General features: G+C 52.4%; 1 long non-coding RNA gene and 2 pseudogenes across 3 annotated transcripts, besides 7 other annotated features; 2 read left to right on the top strand and 1 right to left on the bottom strand.

The window, feature by feature from the left end:
- Positions 1 to 995: 995 nt before the first annotated feature.
- LOC105370449 (uncharacterized) lies at positions 996 to 14,159 on the top strand. 3 transcript variants are annotated; one of them, XR_943742.4, is made up of 3 exons: positions 996 to 1,177; positions 3,336 to 3,549; positions 6,458 to 6,811. It is a non-coding gene; the product is annotated as an uncharacterized LOC105370449 (long non-coding RNA). The 3 variants fall into 3 exon arrangements; XR_007064114.1 differs by lacking the exon at positions 996 to 1,177 and adding an exon at positions 13,455 to 14,159 and having other exon boundaries at positions 1,840 to 3,549; positions 6,458 to 6,534; XR_001750946.3 differs by lacking the exon at positions 996 to 1,177 and adding an exon at positions 3,841 to 3,958 and having other exon boundaries at positions 1,840 to 3,549.
- Positions 1,590 to 2,147: an enhancer, noted in NCBI's record as "OCT4-NANOG-H3K27ac-H3K4me1 hESC enhancer chr14:35025307-35025864 (GRCh37/hg19 assembly coordinates)". NCBI's record gives its function as "activates a minimal SCP1, AML or CMV promoter by ChIP-STARR-seq in primed H9 embryonic stem cells {active_cell/tissue: H9 hESC(primed)}" and the evidence as "EXISTENCE:reporter gene assay evidence [ECO:0000049][PMID:30033119]".
- Positions 1,673 to 1,903: an enhancer, noted in NCBI's record as "nonconserved acetylation island sequence 117b". NCBI's record gives its function as "activates a minimal heat-shock promoter by reporter assays in Jurkat T cells {active_cell/tissue: Jurkat}" and the evidence as "EXISTENCE:reporter gene assay evidence [ECO:0000049][PMID:17135569]".
- Positions 1,859 to 2,022, top strand: RNU1-28P (RNA, U1 small nuclear 28, pseudogene; annotated as a pseudogene).
- Positions 2,148 to 2,705: an enhancer, noted in NCBI's record as "OCT4-NANOG-H3K27ac-H3K4me1 hESC enhancer chr14:35024749-35025306 (GRCh37/hg19 assembly coordinates)". NCBI's record gives its function as "activates a minimal SCP1, AML or CMV promoter by ChIP-STARR-seq in primed H9 embryonic stem cells {active_cell/tissue: H9 hESC(primed)}" and the evidence as "EXISTENCE:reporter gene assay evidence [ECO:0000049][PMID:30033119]".
- Positions 4,762 to 4,938: a silencer, noted in NCBI's record as "fragment chr14:35022516-35022692 (GRCh37/hg19 assembly coordinates)". NCBI's record gives its function as "represses an EF-1alpha promoter that drives an FKBP-Casp9 reporter gene in an ReSE screen in HepG2 liver carcinoma cells {active_cell/tissue: HepG2}" and the evidence as "EXISTENCE:reporter gene assay evidence [ECO:0000049][PMID:32094911]".
- Positions 10,652 to 11,223: an enhancer, noted in NCBI's record as "OCT4-NANOG-H3K27ac-H3K4me1 hESC enhancer chr14:35016231-35016802 (GRCh37/hg19 assembly coordinates)". NCBI's record gives its function as "activates a minimal SCP1, AML or CMV promoter by ChIP-STARR-seq in primed H9 embryonic stem cells {active_cell/tissue: H9 hESC(primed)}" and the evidence as "EXISTENCE:reporter gene assay evidence [ECO:0000049][PMID:30033119]".
- Positions 11,224 to 11,795: an enhancer, noted in NCBI's record as "OCT4-NANOG-H3K27ac-H3K4me1 hESC enhancer chr14:35015659-35016230 (GRCh37/hg19 assembly coordinates)". NCBI's record gives its function as "activates a minimal SCP1, AML or CMV promoter by ChIP-STARR-seq in naive and primed H9 embryonic stem cells {active_cell/tissue: H9 hESC(naive and primed)}" and the evidence as "EXISTENCE:reporter gene assay evidence [ECO:0000049][PMID:30033119]".
- RNU1-27P (RNA, U1 small nuclear 27, pseudogene) lies at positions 11,371 to 11,534 on the bottom strand (annotated as a pseudogene).
- Positions 11,490 to 11,720: an enhancer, noted in NCBI's record as "nonconserved acetylation island sequence 117a". NCBI's record gives its function as "activates a minimal heat-shock promoter by reporter assays in Jurkat T cells {active_cell/tissue: Jurkat}" and the evidence as "EXISTENCE:reporter gene assay evidence [ECO:0000049][PMID:17135569]".
- Positions 14,160 to 14,694: the final 535 nt, after the last annotated feature.

The raw sequence follows: 14,694 nt of genomic DNA, 5'->3' as shown, positions 1-14,694 counted from the left end.
TAAGAAACTTCTCAGGCTACTGTCCAAAAAAATCGGCTGGGCGCGGTTGCTCTCACGCCTGTAACCCTAGCACTTTGGGAGGCCGAGGCGGGCGGATCACCTGAGGTCAGAAGTTCAAGACCAGCCTGGTCCACTAAAATACAAAAATTAGCCGGGCATGATGGCGGATGCCTGTAATCCCAGCTACTCGGGAGGCTGAGACGGGAGAATCGCTTGAACCCGGGAGACGGTGGTTGCAGTGAGCCGAGATCACGCCACTGCACTCCAGCCTGGGCGGCTGAGCGAGATTCCGTCTCAGAAAAAAAAAAAAAATCGAGGACGACTCACCATCTAAGCATAAAACGAAGGTTGAACAGATTACATAGAATATCTCAGATCGTGTGAGTTGACTATAAAACATAACAGTGGCTGGACGTGGTGCTTCACGCCTGTAATCCCAACACTTTGAGAGGCTGAGGTGGGCAGATCACCTGAGGTCGGGAGTTCGAGACCAGCCTGACCAACATGGAGAAATCCCGTGTCTACTAAAAATACAAAATTAGCCGGGCGTGGTGGCGCATGCCCGTAATCCCAGCTACTCGGGAGGCTGAGGCAAGAGAATCGCTTGAACCCGGGAGGCGGAGGTTGCGGTGAGCCGAGATCGCGCCATTGCACTCCAGCCTGGACAACAAGAGCGAAACTCCGTCTCACATAAGAAGAAGAAGAAGAAGAAGAAGAAGAAGAAGAAGAAGAAGAAGAAGAAGAAGAAGAATACAATAATAATAATAGTGTATTTACAGATTTTCCCAAGTGTTCAAAAATGGTTTGTTGTCCAGCGTTATACACTTAACTCGACCGGTGCACGGTTTGCATAGTGGACAACTTTGTACTTTGTCCTGATTTTTTTTTCCCTCAAAGTAAGAGGCTTGATTCCCCCCCGACTCCACCCGGCCCCCCTCCTTTAGGTTTTCCTAGGTTTCGTCGCCGCCTATGTTAGTTACAGCCGTTTCTGACAGGCCTACCAGGGAAGATGCTCAAGGAAAACGATGTTCTGTCAAGCTGCTTGGGGAAATCTTAGTGCTTAATGTTTAACCGGGGGGAGGAGGCGAACCTCATAATAGTTGTGCCCTGTGGGGAAGACTTCTGTTGGGCTGGCGAGAAGAGAAGGGGCCGAAACTTGCTTTTTGCTGAAAGGAAGGTGAGCCCAAACCCGAGCCCTGCCCGGCCCAGACGCTAGATCCCTTGGGGACTGGGCGGTGGGGCCGCAAACTCTCTTTCGCTCGCTCGCTCGCTCGCTCGCTCTCTCTCCCCCTCTTTTCTTCCTTCTCTCTCTCTCTATCTTCCCTCTGTCACTGTCTCTCTCTCTCTCTCTCTCTCTCTGTCTTCTCTCTCCCCTCTCTCCTGTCTCTCTCTCTCTCTTCTCTCTGTCACTGTCTTTCTGTCTCTCTCTTCTCTCTGTCACTGTCTCTCTCTCTCTCTCTGGCACTCTCTCGTCCTCTCAGGCCTCCCTTTCAGGTCCCAGACTCCCGGCCGCGCGCCCACTTGCGCCCAACCAGCCCCGGAGACACCCAGGCCTGTCCCACGCCGTCGGTAGGTCCCCGGTCCGGGAGCGGGAGAGACCGGAGCGCCGGGGACGACCCCGGCAAGGGCGTGGCGTATGCAGATGAGCACGGCGCGCGGAGGCTGCCGGTCACGCTCGGCCTGGGACCCCATGTCCCGCGCGCGATATCCGAGTGCTGTCGGGGTGTCTTCCCCTAGCGGCAACGGTGGAGCGAGGGGGCTGGAGAGGGTGAGGGGGCTGGGGCCGCACGAGAGAAGTGACCGTGTGTTGAGAGTGTGGTGGGCGCGAGGGTATGAGAGGAAGCCGCACGGCCAGTCCATACTTACCTGGCAGGGGAGATACCATGATCACGAAGGTGGTTTTCCCAGGGCGAGGCTTATCCATTGCACTCCGGATGTGCTGACCCCTGCGATTTCCCCAAATGTGGGAAACTCGACTGCATAATTTGTGGTAGTGGGGGACTGCGTTCGCGCTTTCCCCTGCCTTACTGGAAGTTGAAAGGTAGCTGTTATTATGATCGGCGCTGGGTCTGGATGTGTGGTGTTCAAAACACGGGCTGCTGGGCAGTTCGCTTTCGTTTTCACGTTTTTGTGGGGGTAGGGCGATTGCTGCTTTTTTCTCACCCCGCGGGGGATCCTTTAGTAACGCGCCAATTATACTGTGGGTTTATGTTCTCCAGGGTATTGTCGTGAAAACGTCACGATCTCGTGCTTTCTCCAGGCCAAAGCCGCGTTTTTCCTGCAAGTTTGGGGTGTGTAGAGGAAAAAGCCAGAACTGCTTTCTCTTCCCTGGGGAAAATATCCCAGGGTCTTGGTAACCGCTGGCAGAAACGACAGAATACGTACGGGGCGGGCAATTAATCCTGGTCCAGGGAAGTATCCGGCTTAGAGGTTTAGGAAGGACCTGTCGGGGTTGAGTTCCCCACCCAGGGGGAGATCGAGTCCGCGGGAGCTGCTGATCCCACCCAGGCAGCTGCTGGGCTTGTTGGCAGCAGCGTCTTCTGGAAGGACTAGAACGGAGTCATCCCACTCCCAGAGAAGCAGGCGTGTCATGCATGACAGTGAAGGCCGGACTACAAGGCCCTCAAGAACAGGAGACTTTGGGTCCTCGCTAACGGCCTTGGGAGACCACGCAAGACTGGTCAGAAAAGCCAGGTAGAAAGGCTTTTCATGGGCCGCGCGCGGTGGCTCACGCCTGTAATCCCAGCACTTTGAGAGGGCGAGGCGAGCGGATCACTTGAGGTCAGGAAGTTCGAGACCAACCTGGGCAACATGGTGAAACCCCCGTCTCTACTAAAAATACAAAAATTAGCCAGGCGGCGTGGCGCGTGCCTGTAATTCCACCTGCTCCAGAGGCTGAGCCATGAGAATTGCTTGAACCCGGGAGGCGGAGGTTGCGGTGAGCCGAGATCGCGCCATTGCACTCCAGCCTGGGCAACAGAGCAAGACTCCGTCTCAAAAATAAATAAATAAATAAATTAATTAATTAAAGAGTGCAGACTCTTAGGCCCCACCTTTGCTGTATCTGCTGAGTCCGAATGTGCATTCTGTCCACAGTGAAGTTTAAGAAGCACTGATCGAACGTGCTGTATGTTTTAGTTTTCTATCTAACGTCACCCACTTGGAATGTAAGCTCCAGGTCAGCGATTCTTGCCTATTTTGTTGACTGCTTCCATCCACAGGTGACTAGAAAGCTGCCTGGCTTTCAATATATTTGTTGGATTAATCTATTGACATCAGGTGCCCAGGTTCTAGCTCTGAGCCCAGGGGAGATTAATACTGTGTCTTTCCTACAGAGAAATCACAGAGTTGCAAATCCTCCCTGCTCAGCTTCATCAGCACTTAATACCATTTGCTCGAGCTCCTGGGTGAGAGCTACAAAACTAGTCCCTGAGCCCAGTGGGAGGATCCACTAGTCCACACCCTCGACCTCTGTCAGCCTCTTCAGCCCCTTCTCGCTTGAGGAGAATGTGATCGTTGTTACAGGCATCAGAAAAAGGCAAGTTGGGGGTAAGCACCTTATTTTTCTCACACCCCTGCCCCTTGTATTTACCCAGTGGTTTAACCTGGTTTGAGCCAACATCATCTTGCCTGGATTGGCAAGTCTCCTGATTGGTCTCCCTGCTTTTCACTTCATTTCATTTTTTTATCAGAACATGCCACACCTCTGCTCAAAACCTGGTTCACCCAGATTTAAAGCTTTACTGTGGTGTCTACAAGACCCTCATGATCTTACCCCCACCCAGTCACCTCTGTGACTGACATTTCATACAACTCTCTTTAATTTTGCTCCCGACACAGGGCCTCCTTGCTGTTCGCCAAACCCAGTCCTACCTGGGCCTTTGCTGTAGCTGATGTTTGTGCTGGGGATGCCCCGTGACCAACTCCCTTCACCTGCTTCAAGTCCTTTGCTCATACGGTACCTTCTCATAGCAGCTTCTTCCAACCACTCGATTTAACACAGCCACCTGCCCCTTGCCGCAACTCCTTATCTCACTTTCCCTGTGTTTGTTTGCTTTTTCAAAGCACTTAGCACCTAACCTACGAATTTACCTATGCAGCCCGGTGTAGATTTTCTCTCTCCCACCCCCGCCCCCCACCTCCCCGCGCTTCTCGTTGTCTAACTAGAATACGGGCACCGAGGCCTTTTTGCTCCCAGAGGCCTGGAACAGTGTCTGGGCACAGGCTATGCGCTCAGTGAACGGTTGTTGAATGGACGAATTCTTCTTTATTGTTATTAAGTATTTATTTATTTATTATTTATTTGAGACGGAGTCTCGCTCTGTCGCCCAGGCTGAAGTGCAGTGGCGCGATCTCGGCTCACTGCAAGCTCCGCCTCCCGGGTTCACGCCATTCTCCTGCCTCAGCCTCCCGAGTAGCTGGGACTACAGGCGCCTGCCACCACGCCCGGCTAATTTTTTTGTGTTCTTAGGAGACACAGGGTTTCACCGTGTCATCCAGGATGGTCTCGATCTCCTGACCTCGTGATCTGCCCGCCTCAGCCTCCCAAAGTGCTGGGATTACAGGCGTGAGCCACCGCGCCCGGCCTTATTTATTTATTTATTTATTTATTTTTATTGAAACTAAGTCTCGCTGTCACCCAAGCTGGAGTGCGGTGGCGCGATCTCGGCTCACTGCAACCTCCGCCTCCCGGGTTCAAGGGATTCTCCTGCCTCAGCCTCCCGAGTAGCTGGGACAACAGGCGTGCGCGCCACCACGCCCGGCTAATTTTTTGTATTTTTAGTAGACACGGGGTTTCGCCATGTTGGCCAGGCTGGTCTCGAACTCCTGACCTCAAGTGATCCAACCGACTCGGCCTCCCAAAGTGCTGGGATTACAGGCGTGAGCCACCGCGCCCGGTCTGAATGGACTAATTCTTAATGTCATCCAAGAGGAAATCAGAATATTTAGAAAGGAGCCAGGAGCCAGGGTTCACCCAGGGCGCGGTGCAGGGTTATCTTTTTTTGTTGTTGCTTTTTGACTCGCTCTGTCGCCCAGGCTGGAATGCGGCGCCGCCATCTCGGCTCACTGCAACCTCCGCCTCCGGGGTTCAAGCGATCCTCCCGCCTCAGCCTCCCGAGTAGCTGGAACAACAGGGGCGCGCGCCACCAACGCCCGGCTAATTTTTGTATTTTTTGTAGAGAAGGGGTCTCGCCATGTTGGCCAGGCTGGTCTGGAACTCCTGGGCTCAAGCGATCCGCCCACCTTGGCCTTCCAAAGTGCTGGGATGACAGGCGTGAGCCACCGCCCCCTATCGGGTTATCCTCTTTGATCACAAAACGGGCAATTTCTTGAGTCCAAGTCAGAAATGACCAGAGGGTACTTTGTGGGGCCACCCTGTGTGCGGGGGCGGGGAGGGGAAGCTCCAGTGCCGCGGGGAGAAGGCTGAACGGCGTCTGATCCCTACTCTGGGGCTCCCGGGAGGGGCGCCGCGTGGCTGCCACTGAAGAGGACCCGGCTTCCTTTCTTCAAACTCAAGACTCTTGAGTTTTCCTTCCAGCGTCACTACATTCGGCTACTAGATAGATATTCTGAGGTGGTTCATGTCACTTTTACTCAGGAAGACACGACAAACAAAAGTTACCACGATTTCTTACTGAGGTGGTTTCGCACTTAACGTCAGTGGGCGAAAACTCGCAGCCTCAGTTTTCTTTTCTTTTCTTTTCTTTTTCTTCTTTTTTTTCTTTTTGAGACGGAGTTTTTACTCTGTCGCCCAGGCTGGAGTGCAGTGGCGCGATCTCGGCTCACTGCGGCCTCCGCCTCCCCGATTGAAGCGATTCTCCTGCCTCAGCCTCCCGAGTAGCTGGGATTACAGGCACGCGGCACCATGCCCAGCTAATTTTTGTATTTTTAGTAGAGATGGGGTTTCACCGTGTTGGACAGGCTGGTCTCGAACTCCTGACCTCAAGTGATCCACCTGTCTCGGCCTCCCAAAGTGCTGGGATTACAGGCATGAGCCAGCACCCCCGGCCTTAATTTTTCTTTCTCCTCTTCTTCGATTACTATTATTTTTTTTAAAATAGAGACAGGTTTCCCTATGTTGCCCAGGCTAATCTCAAACTCCTGGTTTCAAGTGGTCCTCCTGCCTCAGCCTCCCAAAGTTGCTGGGATTACAGGCTTGAGCCACCGCACCCGGCCACAAGTGCCCTTTTTAAATAAGCTCCTATTTTTTTGTTGTTGGTTTTGTTGTTTAATTGTTGTATAACCGGTTTTATTCCATCAAATTGAGTTCTCTACAAAGGATATCATTTTATACCTGACCATGGTTTATCCTTTTGGTGAGTTATTGGTTCTCTCTCTCCAAATAGCATCATTATTCCCTAAGGTCCAACGTCATACATGTGCCAATTTGTTTCAGCCCGGATGCTTTTCCAGTCCACTGTGAAACTCACTCTCTGCCATACCCCTTTTCTTTCAGAAGGCATACAAGTACCAACTAGGTGTCTCTTTCTCCAAGGAGCTCCACAAAATATTCCATCCAGAGTGCAGATGATGGTAGGTAGTCTTTAATTTACACAGGTGTCTTCCCAGTAGGTTTACGGGAGAATCAAGAGAATGAAAGAACACATGTTCCTCAGTCAGAGGGCCTATCTGTATGGGAACTGCCAGCGAAAAGTAACAAGTAGAAAGTTTACCCGGAAAATCAACAACCTGCATTGATCTATCACCAGATGAAAATTGGGAAATTTCAGAGGAACTTGAAGCATAAGTAGCACCAAAGGGCCGGGGGCAGTGGCTCACGCCTATAATCCCAACACTTGGGGAGGTGGAGGCGGGCGGATCACTTGAGGTCAGGAGTTTGAGACCAGCCTGGCCAACATGGTGAAACCCCGTCTCTACTAAAATTACAAAAATCAGCCAGGCCTGGTCGTGGGCGCCTGTAATCCCAGCTACTCGGGAGGCTGAGGCAGGAGAATCGCCTGAACCCGAGAGGCGGAGGGTGCAGTGAGCCGAGATCATGCCACTGCACTGTAGCCTGGGTGACAGAGCAAGACTCTGTCTCGGAGGGGGAGGCGGGGGGAAGTAGCACCAGTATCTATCAGAGAAGGTAAGGCTATTTTTTGGGCTGAAGAAGTTATTGACACATTGGGTTGGTTCTCCTGTTTCCCCTGCCGAGACTCCCCCAATCTGTCAATTTTGCGATATTTAACAATTATTTTTCAGCTGAGAGTTTTGTCCTTCTGGGCTCTCCTGATTCCCTGGTCCCTGCAACTTCTGCATTCTCTGGTGCCTCTTTCCTTTTTTTTTTTTTTTCTTTCTTTCTTTTTTTTTTTTTTTTTTTTTTTTTTTTTTGTGACGGAGTCTCAGTCTGTTGCCCAGGCTGGAGTGCAGTGGTGTGATCTCGGCTCACTGCAGGGAGATCTCCGCCTCTCGGGTTCATGCCATTCTCCTGCCTCAGCCTCCCGAGTAGCTGGGACTACCGGCGCATGCCACTGCGCCCAGCTAATGTTTGTATTTTTAGTAGAGGTGGGGTTTCACTATGTTGGCCAGGATGGTCTCGATCTCCTGACCTCATGATCCGCCCGCCTCAGCCTCCCAAAGTGCTGGGATTACAGGTGTGAGCCACCGCGCCCAGCCCTCTGGAATCTCTTTCTACAATCCCCCTTCTGCCCTCCTGGCCCTTGCAATAATGACTTAAAAGGTTTTCCCGTTTCCTTTGCTCCTTTCATAGGGGGTCCAGAGTAGGAACTGATTCCCCTTAGTTGTGAGCAGCTAGCACAGCAGTTTAGCCTTTCCTCATTTCTTCTTTCTCTAGACTGTCCCCAAATCTTAGTAGAGTCTCGCTGTATTGCTCAGGCTGGAGTGCAGTGGTGCGATCTCGGCTCACTGCAGGGAGATCTCCACCTCCTGGGTTCAAGCGATTCTCGCGCCTCAGCCTCCCAAATAGCTGGGATTACAGGCACACACCACCATGCCCAGCTAATTTTTGTATTTTTAGTAGAGACGGGGTTTCGCCACGTTGGCCAGGCTGGTCTCAAACTCCTGACTTCAGGTGATCTGCCCGCCTTGGCCTCCCAAAGTGCTGGGATTACAGGCGTGAGCCACCGGGCCCGGCCTACCCTACCACTTTTTGCCTAACTTGAGTTTGGATAGTCAGTAAGAGAGCCCAGACAAAGATGGGCTAACACCTGGGCAGAATTTTGGTCTGCTCCTGGATCTATGCCAGTAAATTCTGAGAAAGCCTCAACAAACTGCTGAGGAAATCAATGGGAGACTCTGGGACTTCTGGGTACACAACTTCAATTTTTCTTTTTTTCTTCTTTTTTAAGTAGACAGGAAGTCTCCATATGTTGCCCAGATTGGCCTCAAACTCCCGGGCTCAAGTGACCCCCCCGCCTTGGCTTCCCAAAGGGATGGGATTGAAGGTGTGAGCCACCGCGCCCGGCCGACAGTTCCGTTTATAGCCCCAAGAAAGGTCACCCCTTTACATAGGTAGGCAGATGCAAGCCCTAAAATACATGTTGTCAAGGATTTGTCCTCAAGAAAGAAACCTAGCACTGTTTGCTACACACAGTTCATCCTCAGTTCAACTGGTAATTGCAGCGGTCAGCTGTGTTATTAATTGCCTTTACCCAAAGGGAAAATAAAGCCTCTGATACCTCCATGACAAGGAGGTAGTGATAACTTGGAGCCAGCCACCTAGGCTAAATTCCCAGAGATAGAGGCCGGGCGCAGTGGCTCACGCCTGTAATCCCAACACTCTGGGAGGCCGAGGCGGGCGGATTACCAAGAGTTTGAGACCAGCCTGGCCAACATGGTGAAACCTCGTCTGTACTAAAAATACAAAAATTAGCTGGATGTGGTGGCACGCGCCTGTAATCCCAGCTACTTGAGAGGCTGAGGCAGGAGAATCGCTTGAACCCTGGAGGTGGAGGTTGCAGTGAGCCGAGACTGCACCACTGCACTCCAGCCTGGGCAATAGAGCAAGACTGTCTCAAAAAAGAAAAACAAAAAAGTAAATAAATATAAATCAATCAATACATAAGTAAATTCCCAGAGACAGAAAGGAGACAGGGGGACACTATCTTCCTTGATATTTACCTTTTGAGTTGGTGGCTTCAAGGCCCTCAAGGGAAAACCTTCCTAGGTTGTAAAACTGGCAAGAGGCTTATTTAGCTGTTAATATGACTCACGTAGGCCAGGCGTGGTGGCTGACACCCGTAATTTCAGCATTTTGGGGGGCCGAGGCAGAAGGATCGCTTGAGCCCAGGAGTTCAAGCCCAGCCTGGGCAACATAGGAAGACACCGTCTCTACAAAAAAAAAAAAATAAATAAAATAAAATTAGCCAGTTAGCCATGTGTGGTAACGCAAACCTGTGGTTCCAGCTAAGGAGGAAGGCTGAGGCCGGAGGACCGCTTGAACCCAGGAGTTCGAGGCTGCAGTGAGTAAGCTAGGATAACGCCACTGCACCCCAGCCTGGGTGACAGAGAGAGACCCTGTCTCAAAAAGCAGAGACTCACGCCTCAAAGGAAGGGGAAAGTCTCTTTTCCTTATGGCACCAGGGGCACATGTTTTTGTTTTTTCTTTTTTGAGGCAGGCTCTTGTCACTCGGGTGGGAGTGCAGTGGCGCCATCACCGCTCACTGCAGCCTCCTCCTGCCTTCTGTTTTGTTTTGGTTTGTTTTGTTTTAATTTAGAGACGAGGTCTCTTGCTGTGTTGCCCAAGCTGGTCTCCAACTCCTGGGCTCAAGTGATCCTCTCGCCTCAGCCTCCCAAAGCGCTAGGATTACAGGCGTGAGCCACCGTGCCTGGCCAACATTTTTCTTTCCTTCTACCAGTTTTGTATTATTTACTTTTTTTTTTTTTTTTTGAGACAGAGTCTCGCTCTGTTGCCCAGGCTGGCTGGAGTGGTACAAGTGGCATGATCTCAGCTCACTGCAACCTCTCCGCCTCCTGGGTTCAAGCGATTCTCCTGCCTCAGCCTCCCGAGTAGCTGGGATTACAGACACACACCACCATGCCCGGCTAATTTTTGTATTTTTAGTAGAGACAGGATTTCGCCACGTTGGTCAAGCTGGTCTCAAACTCCTGACCTCAGGTGATCCGCCCACCTCGGCCTCCCAAGGCGCTGGGATTACAGGCGTGAGCCACCGCGCCTGGCGTGTATTTACCCTTCTATTACACATATCCCGGGGGTGCTGAGGTCTGGGAAGGCTTGGACATAAGGGTCTTAAGACAGCAAAATGGCAACATTATAACTGGAGGAAAGGTCCATGTCAGGATGGTGGCCCTGAACATCAGAGTCTCTTGTTTCCTCCTGGGGACATGTACAGAGGCTGTCACGAGACTCTCCTAAAAGCATTCATGAAAAGCCTTTTTCTTTCCTTCTTTCTTTCTTTCTTTTTTTTTTTTTTTTGAGACGGAGTCTTGCTCTGTTGCCCAGGCTGGAGTGCAATGGCGCGATCTCGGCTCACCGCAACCTCCGCCTCCCGGGTTCAAGCAATTCTCATGGCTCAGCCTCTGGAGCAGGTGGAATTACAGGCACGCGCCACGCCGCCTGGCTAATTTTTGTATTTTTAGTAGAGACGGGGGTTTCACCATGTTGCCCAGGTTGGTCTCGAACTTCCTGACCTCAAGTGATCCGCTCGCCTCGCCCTCTCAAAGTGCTGGGATTACAGGCGTGAGCCACCGCGCGCGGCCCATGAAAAGCCTTTCTACCTGGCTTTTCTGACCAGTCTTGCGTGGTCTCCCAAGGCCGTTAGCGAGGACCCAAAGTCTCCTGTTCTTGAGGGCCTTGTAGTCCGGCCTTCACTGTCATGCATGACACGCCTGCTTCTCTGGGAGTGGGATGACTCCGTTCTAGTCCTTCCAGAAGACGCTGCTGCCAACAAGCCCAGCAGCTGCCTGGGTGGGATCAGCAGCTCCCGCGGACTCGATCTCCCCCTGGGTGGGGAACTCAACCCCGACAGGTCCTTCCTAAACCTCTAAGCCGGATACTTCCCTGGACCAGGATTAATTGCCCGCCCCGTACGTATTCTGTCGTTTCTGCCAGCGGTTACCAAGACCCTGGGATATTTTCCCCAGGGAAGAGAAAGCAGTTCTGGCTTTTTCCTCTACACACCCCAAACTTGCAGGAAAAACGCGGCTTTGGCCTGGAGAAAGCACGAGATCGTGACGTTTTCACGACAATACCCTGGAGAACATAAACCCACAGTATAATTGGCGCGTTACTAAAGGATCCCCCGCGGGGTGAGAAAAAAGCAGCAATCGCCCTACCCCCACAAAAACGTGAAAACGAAAGCGAACTGCCCAGCAGCCCGTGTTTTGAACACCACACATCCAGACCCAGCGCCGATCATAATAACAGCTACCTTTCAACTTCCAGTAAGGCAGGGGAAAGCGCGAACGCAGTCCCCCACTACCACAAATTATGCAGTCGAGTTTCCCACATTTGGGGAAATCGCAGGGGTCAGCACATCCGGAGTGCAATGGATAAGCCTCGCCCTGGGAAAACCACCTTCGTGATCATGGTATCTCCCCTGCCAGGTAAGTATGGACTGGCCGTGCGGCTTCCTCTCATACCCTCGCGCCCACCACACTCTCAACACACGGTCACTTCTCTCGTGCGGCCCCAGCCCCCTCACCCTCTCCAGCCCCCTCGCTCCACCGTTGCCGCTAGGGGAAGACACCCCGACAGCACTCGGATATCGCGCGCGGGACATGGGGTCCCAGGCCGAGCGTGACCGGCAGCCTCCGCGCGCCGTGCTCATCTGCATACGCCACGCCCTTGCCGGGGTCGTCCCCGGCGCTCCGGTCTCTCCCGCTCCCGGACCGGGGACCTACCGACGGCGTGGGACAGGCCTGGGTGTCTCCGGGGCTGGTTGGGCGCAAGTGGGCGCGCGGCCGGGAGTCTGGGACCTGAAAGGGAGGCCTGAGAGGACGAGAGAGTGCCAGAGAGAGAGAGAGAGACAGTGACAGAGAGAAGAGAGAGACAGAAAGACAGTGACAGAGAGAAGAGAGAGAGAGAGACAGGAGAGAGGGGAGAGAGAAGACAGAGAGAGAGAGAGAGAGAGAGAGACAGTGACAGAGGGAAGATAGAGAGAGAGAGAAGGAAGAAAAGAGGGGGAGAGAGAGCGAGCGAGCGAGCGAGCGAGCGAAAGAGAGTTTGCGGCCCCACCGCCCAGTCCCCAAGGGATCTAGCGTCTGGGCCGGGCAGGGCTCGGGTTTGGGCTCACCTTCCTTTCAGCAAAAAGCAAGTTTCGGCCCCTTCTCTTCTCGCCAGCCCAACAGAAGTCTTCCCCACAGGGCACAACTATTATGAGGTTCGCCTCCTCCCCCCGGTTAAACATTAAGCACTAAGATTTCCCCAAGCAGCTTGACAGAACATCGTTTTCCTTGAGCATCTTCCCTGGTAGGCCTGTCAGAAACGGCTGTAACTAACATAGGCGGCGACGAAACCTAGGAAAACCTAAAGGAGGGGGGCCGGGTGGAGTCGGGGGGGAATCAAGCCTCTTACTTTGAGGGAAAAAAAAATCAGGACAAAGTACAAAGTTGTCCACTATGCAAACCGTGCACCGGTCGAGTTAAGTGTATAACGCTGGACAACAAACCATTTTTGAACACTTGGGAAAATCTGTAAATACACTATTATTATTATTGTATTCTTCTTCTTCTTCTTCTTCTTCTTCTTCTTCTTCTTCTTCTTCTTCTTCTTATGTGAGACGGAGTTTCGCTCTTGTTGTCCAGGCTGGAGTGCAATGGCGCGATCTCGGCTCACCGCAACCTCCGCCTCCCGGGTTCAAGCGATTCTCTTGCCTCAGCCTCCCGAGTAGCTGGGATTACGGGCATGCGCCACCACGCCCGGCTAATTTTGTATTTTTAGTAGACACGGGATTTCTCCATGTTGGTCAGGCTGGTCTCGAACTCCCGACCTCAGGTGATCTGCCCACCTCAGCCTCTCAAAGTGTTGGGATTACAGGCGTGAAGCACCACGTCCAGCCACTGTTATGTTTTATAGTCAACTCACACGATCTGAGATATTCTATGTAATCTGTTCAACCTTCGTTTTATGCTTAGATGGTGAGTCGTCCTCGATTTTTTTTTTTTTTCTGAGACGGAATCTCGCTCAGCCGCCCAGGCTGGAGTGCAGTGGCGTGATCTCGGCTCACTGCAACCACCGTCTCCCGGGTTCAAGCGATTCTCCCGTCTCAGCCTCCCGAGTAGCTGGGATTACAGGCATCCGCCATCATGCCCGGCTAATTTTTGTATTTTAGTGGACCAGGCTGGTCTTGAACTTCTGACCTCAGGTGATCCGCCCGCCTCGGCCTCCCAAAGTGCTAGGGTTACAGGCGTGAGAGCAACCGCGCCCAGCCGATTTTTTTGGACAGTAGCCTGAGAAGTTTCTTATCTTTACTACTTCTCCCATCGAGAAGTAGAGTCCAATTCCCCTCTCCTTGGATCTGGTTTGGCCTTAGTGACTACCTTGCACAACGGCATGTGGCAGAAGTGATGTCCAGGGTCTCCCGAGGCTGGGTCGGAGGCATCCTTACAGCTCCCATCTGGGTCTACCGGAATCGTCTTGGAGGTTTGCGCCGCCATGGAAGAAGGCTGACTACGCAGGCTGCCGTGTCGTGAGGAAGCCCGAGGCTTTGTGGAGAGAAATGCATGGAAACGGTTTCAGTCCCCAGCCGAGACCCTAGGCATCAGGGAGCAGAACATCAAAACTGCGGACTTGGGATACAAATGAATGATCACTGTTGTTGCAAAGCCCTTACGTTTTGAGGGTGGTCTTTTCGTGAAGCAATAGAGAAACGGAACGGGGAGACGGACAGTGAGCAGACAAGCAATAATACGAAGCAGAAGGGGGAAAAACGTGGACCAAGGGATAGAGAAGAGGGCATGGAGAGAAAAGGCTGGGGTTGAGGGCTTAACATATTAGACAAGGGGGTCACGGAAAGCCTCCCTGCTTCTCTCTGTTTGCTCCAAACTCTTGCTTCTCTTTGCTTGCTCAGCATCAGCGCATAGCGCATAGAACCCCCAAAGGCCACCCCACAATGGCAGCCTCAGCCCCAGAATTTACGTGTCCTGTTACAAGTCCTAGGGCCACAACAAACTCTCTGGACTCATTTGATTTTCTTCTAATGTTTTATACACACACACACACACACACACACACACACACACACACACACATATATATATGTATTTTTTTTTTTTGAGACGGCGTCTCACTCTGTCAGCAGGCTGGAGAGCGGTGGCGCAATCTCGGCTCACTGCAACCTCCGTCTCCCGGGTTCAAGTGATTCTCCCGCCTCAGCCTCCCAAGTAGCTGGGACTACAGGTGCTCGCCACCACGCCTGGCTAATTTTTGTGTTTTCAGTAGAGACGGGGGTTTCACCATATTGGCCAGGATGGTCTCCATCTCCTGACCTCGTGATTTGCCCTCCTCGGCCTCCCAAAGTGCTGGGATTACAGGTGTGAGCCACCGCACCCGGCCTCTCATGTAAAATAATTAAAAAAAAAAAAATTCTGGGCCGGGCGCGGTGGCTGACGCCTGTAATCCCAGCACTTTGGGAGGCCAAGGCGGGCGGATAACCTGAGGTCAGGAGCTCAAGACCAGCCTGGCCAACATGGTGAAACCCCGTCTCTACTAAAAAATACAAAAATTAGCTGGGCATGATGGCGGGTTCCTGTAATCCCAGCTACTCCGGAGGC

The sequence above is a fragment of the Homo sapiens genome, chromosome 14 (assembly GCF_000001405.40).
Source record: "Homo sapiens chromosome 14, GRCh38.p14 Primary Assembly".
Lineage (NCBI taxonomy): Eukaryota > Metazoa > Chordata > Mammalia > Primates > Hominidae > Homo > Homo sapiens.
This window is presented reverse-complemented; position numbering and strand designations above follow the sequence as displayed.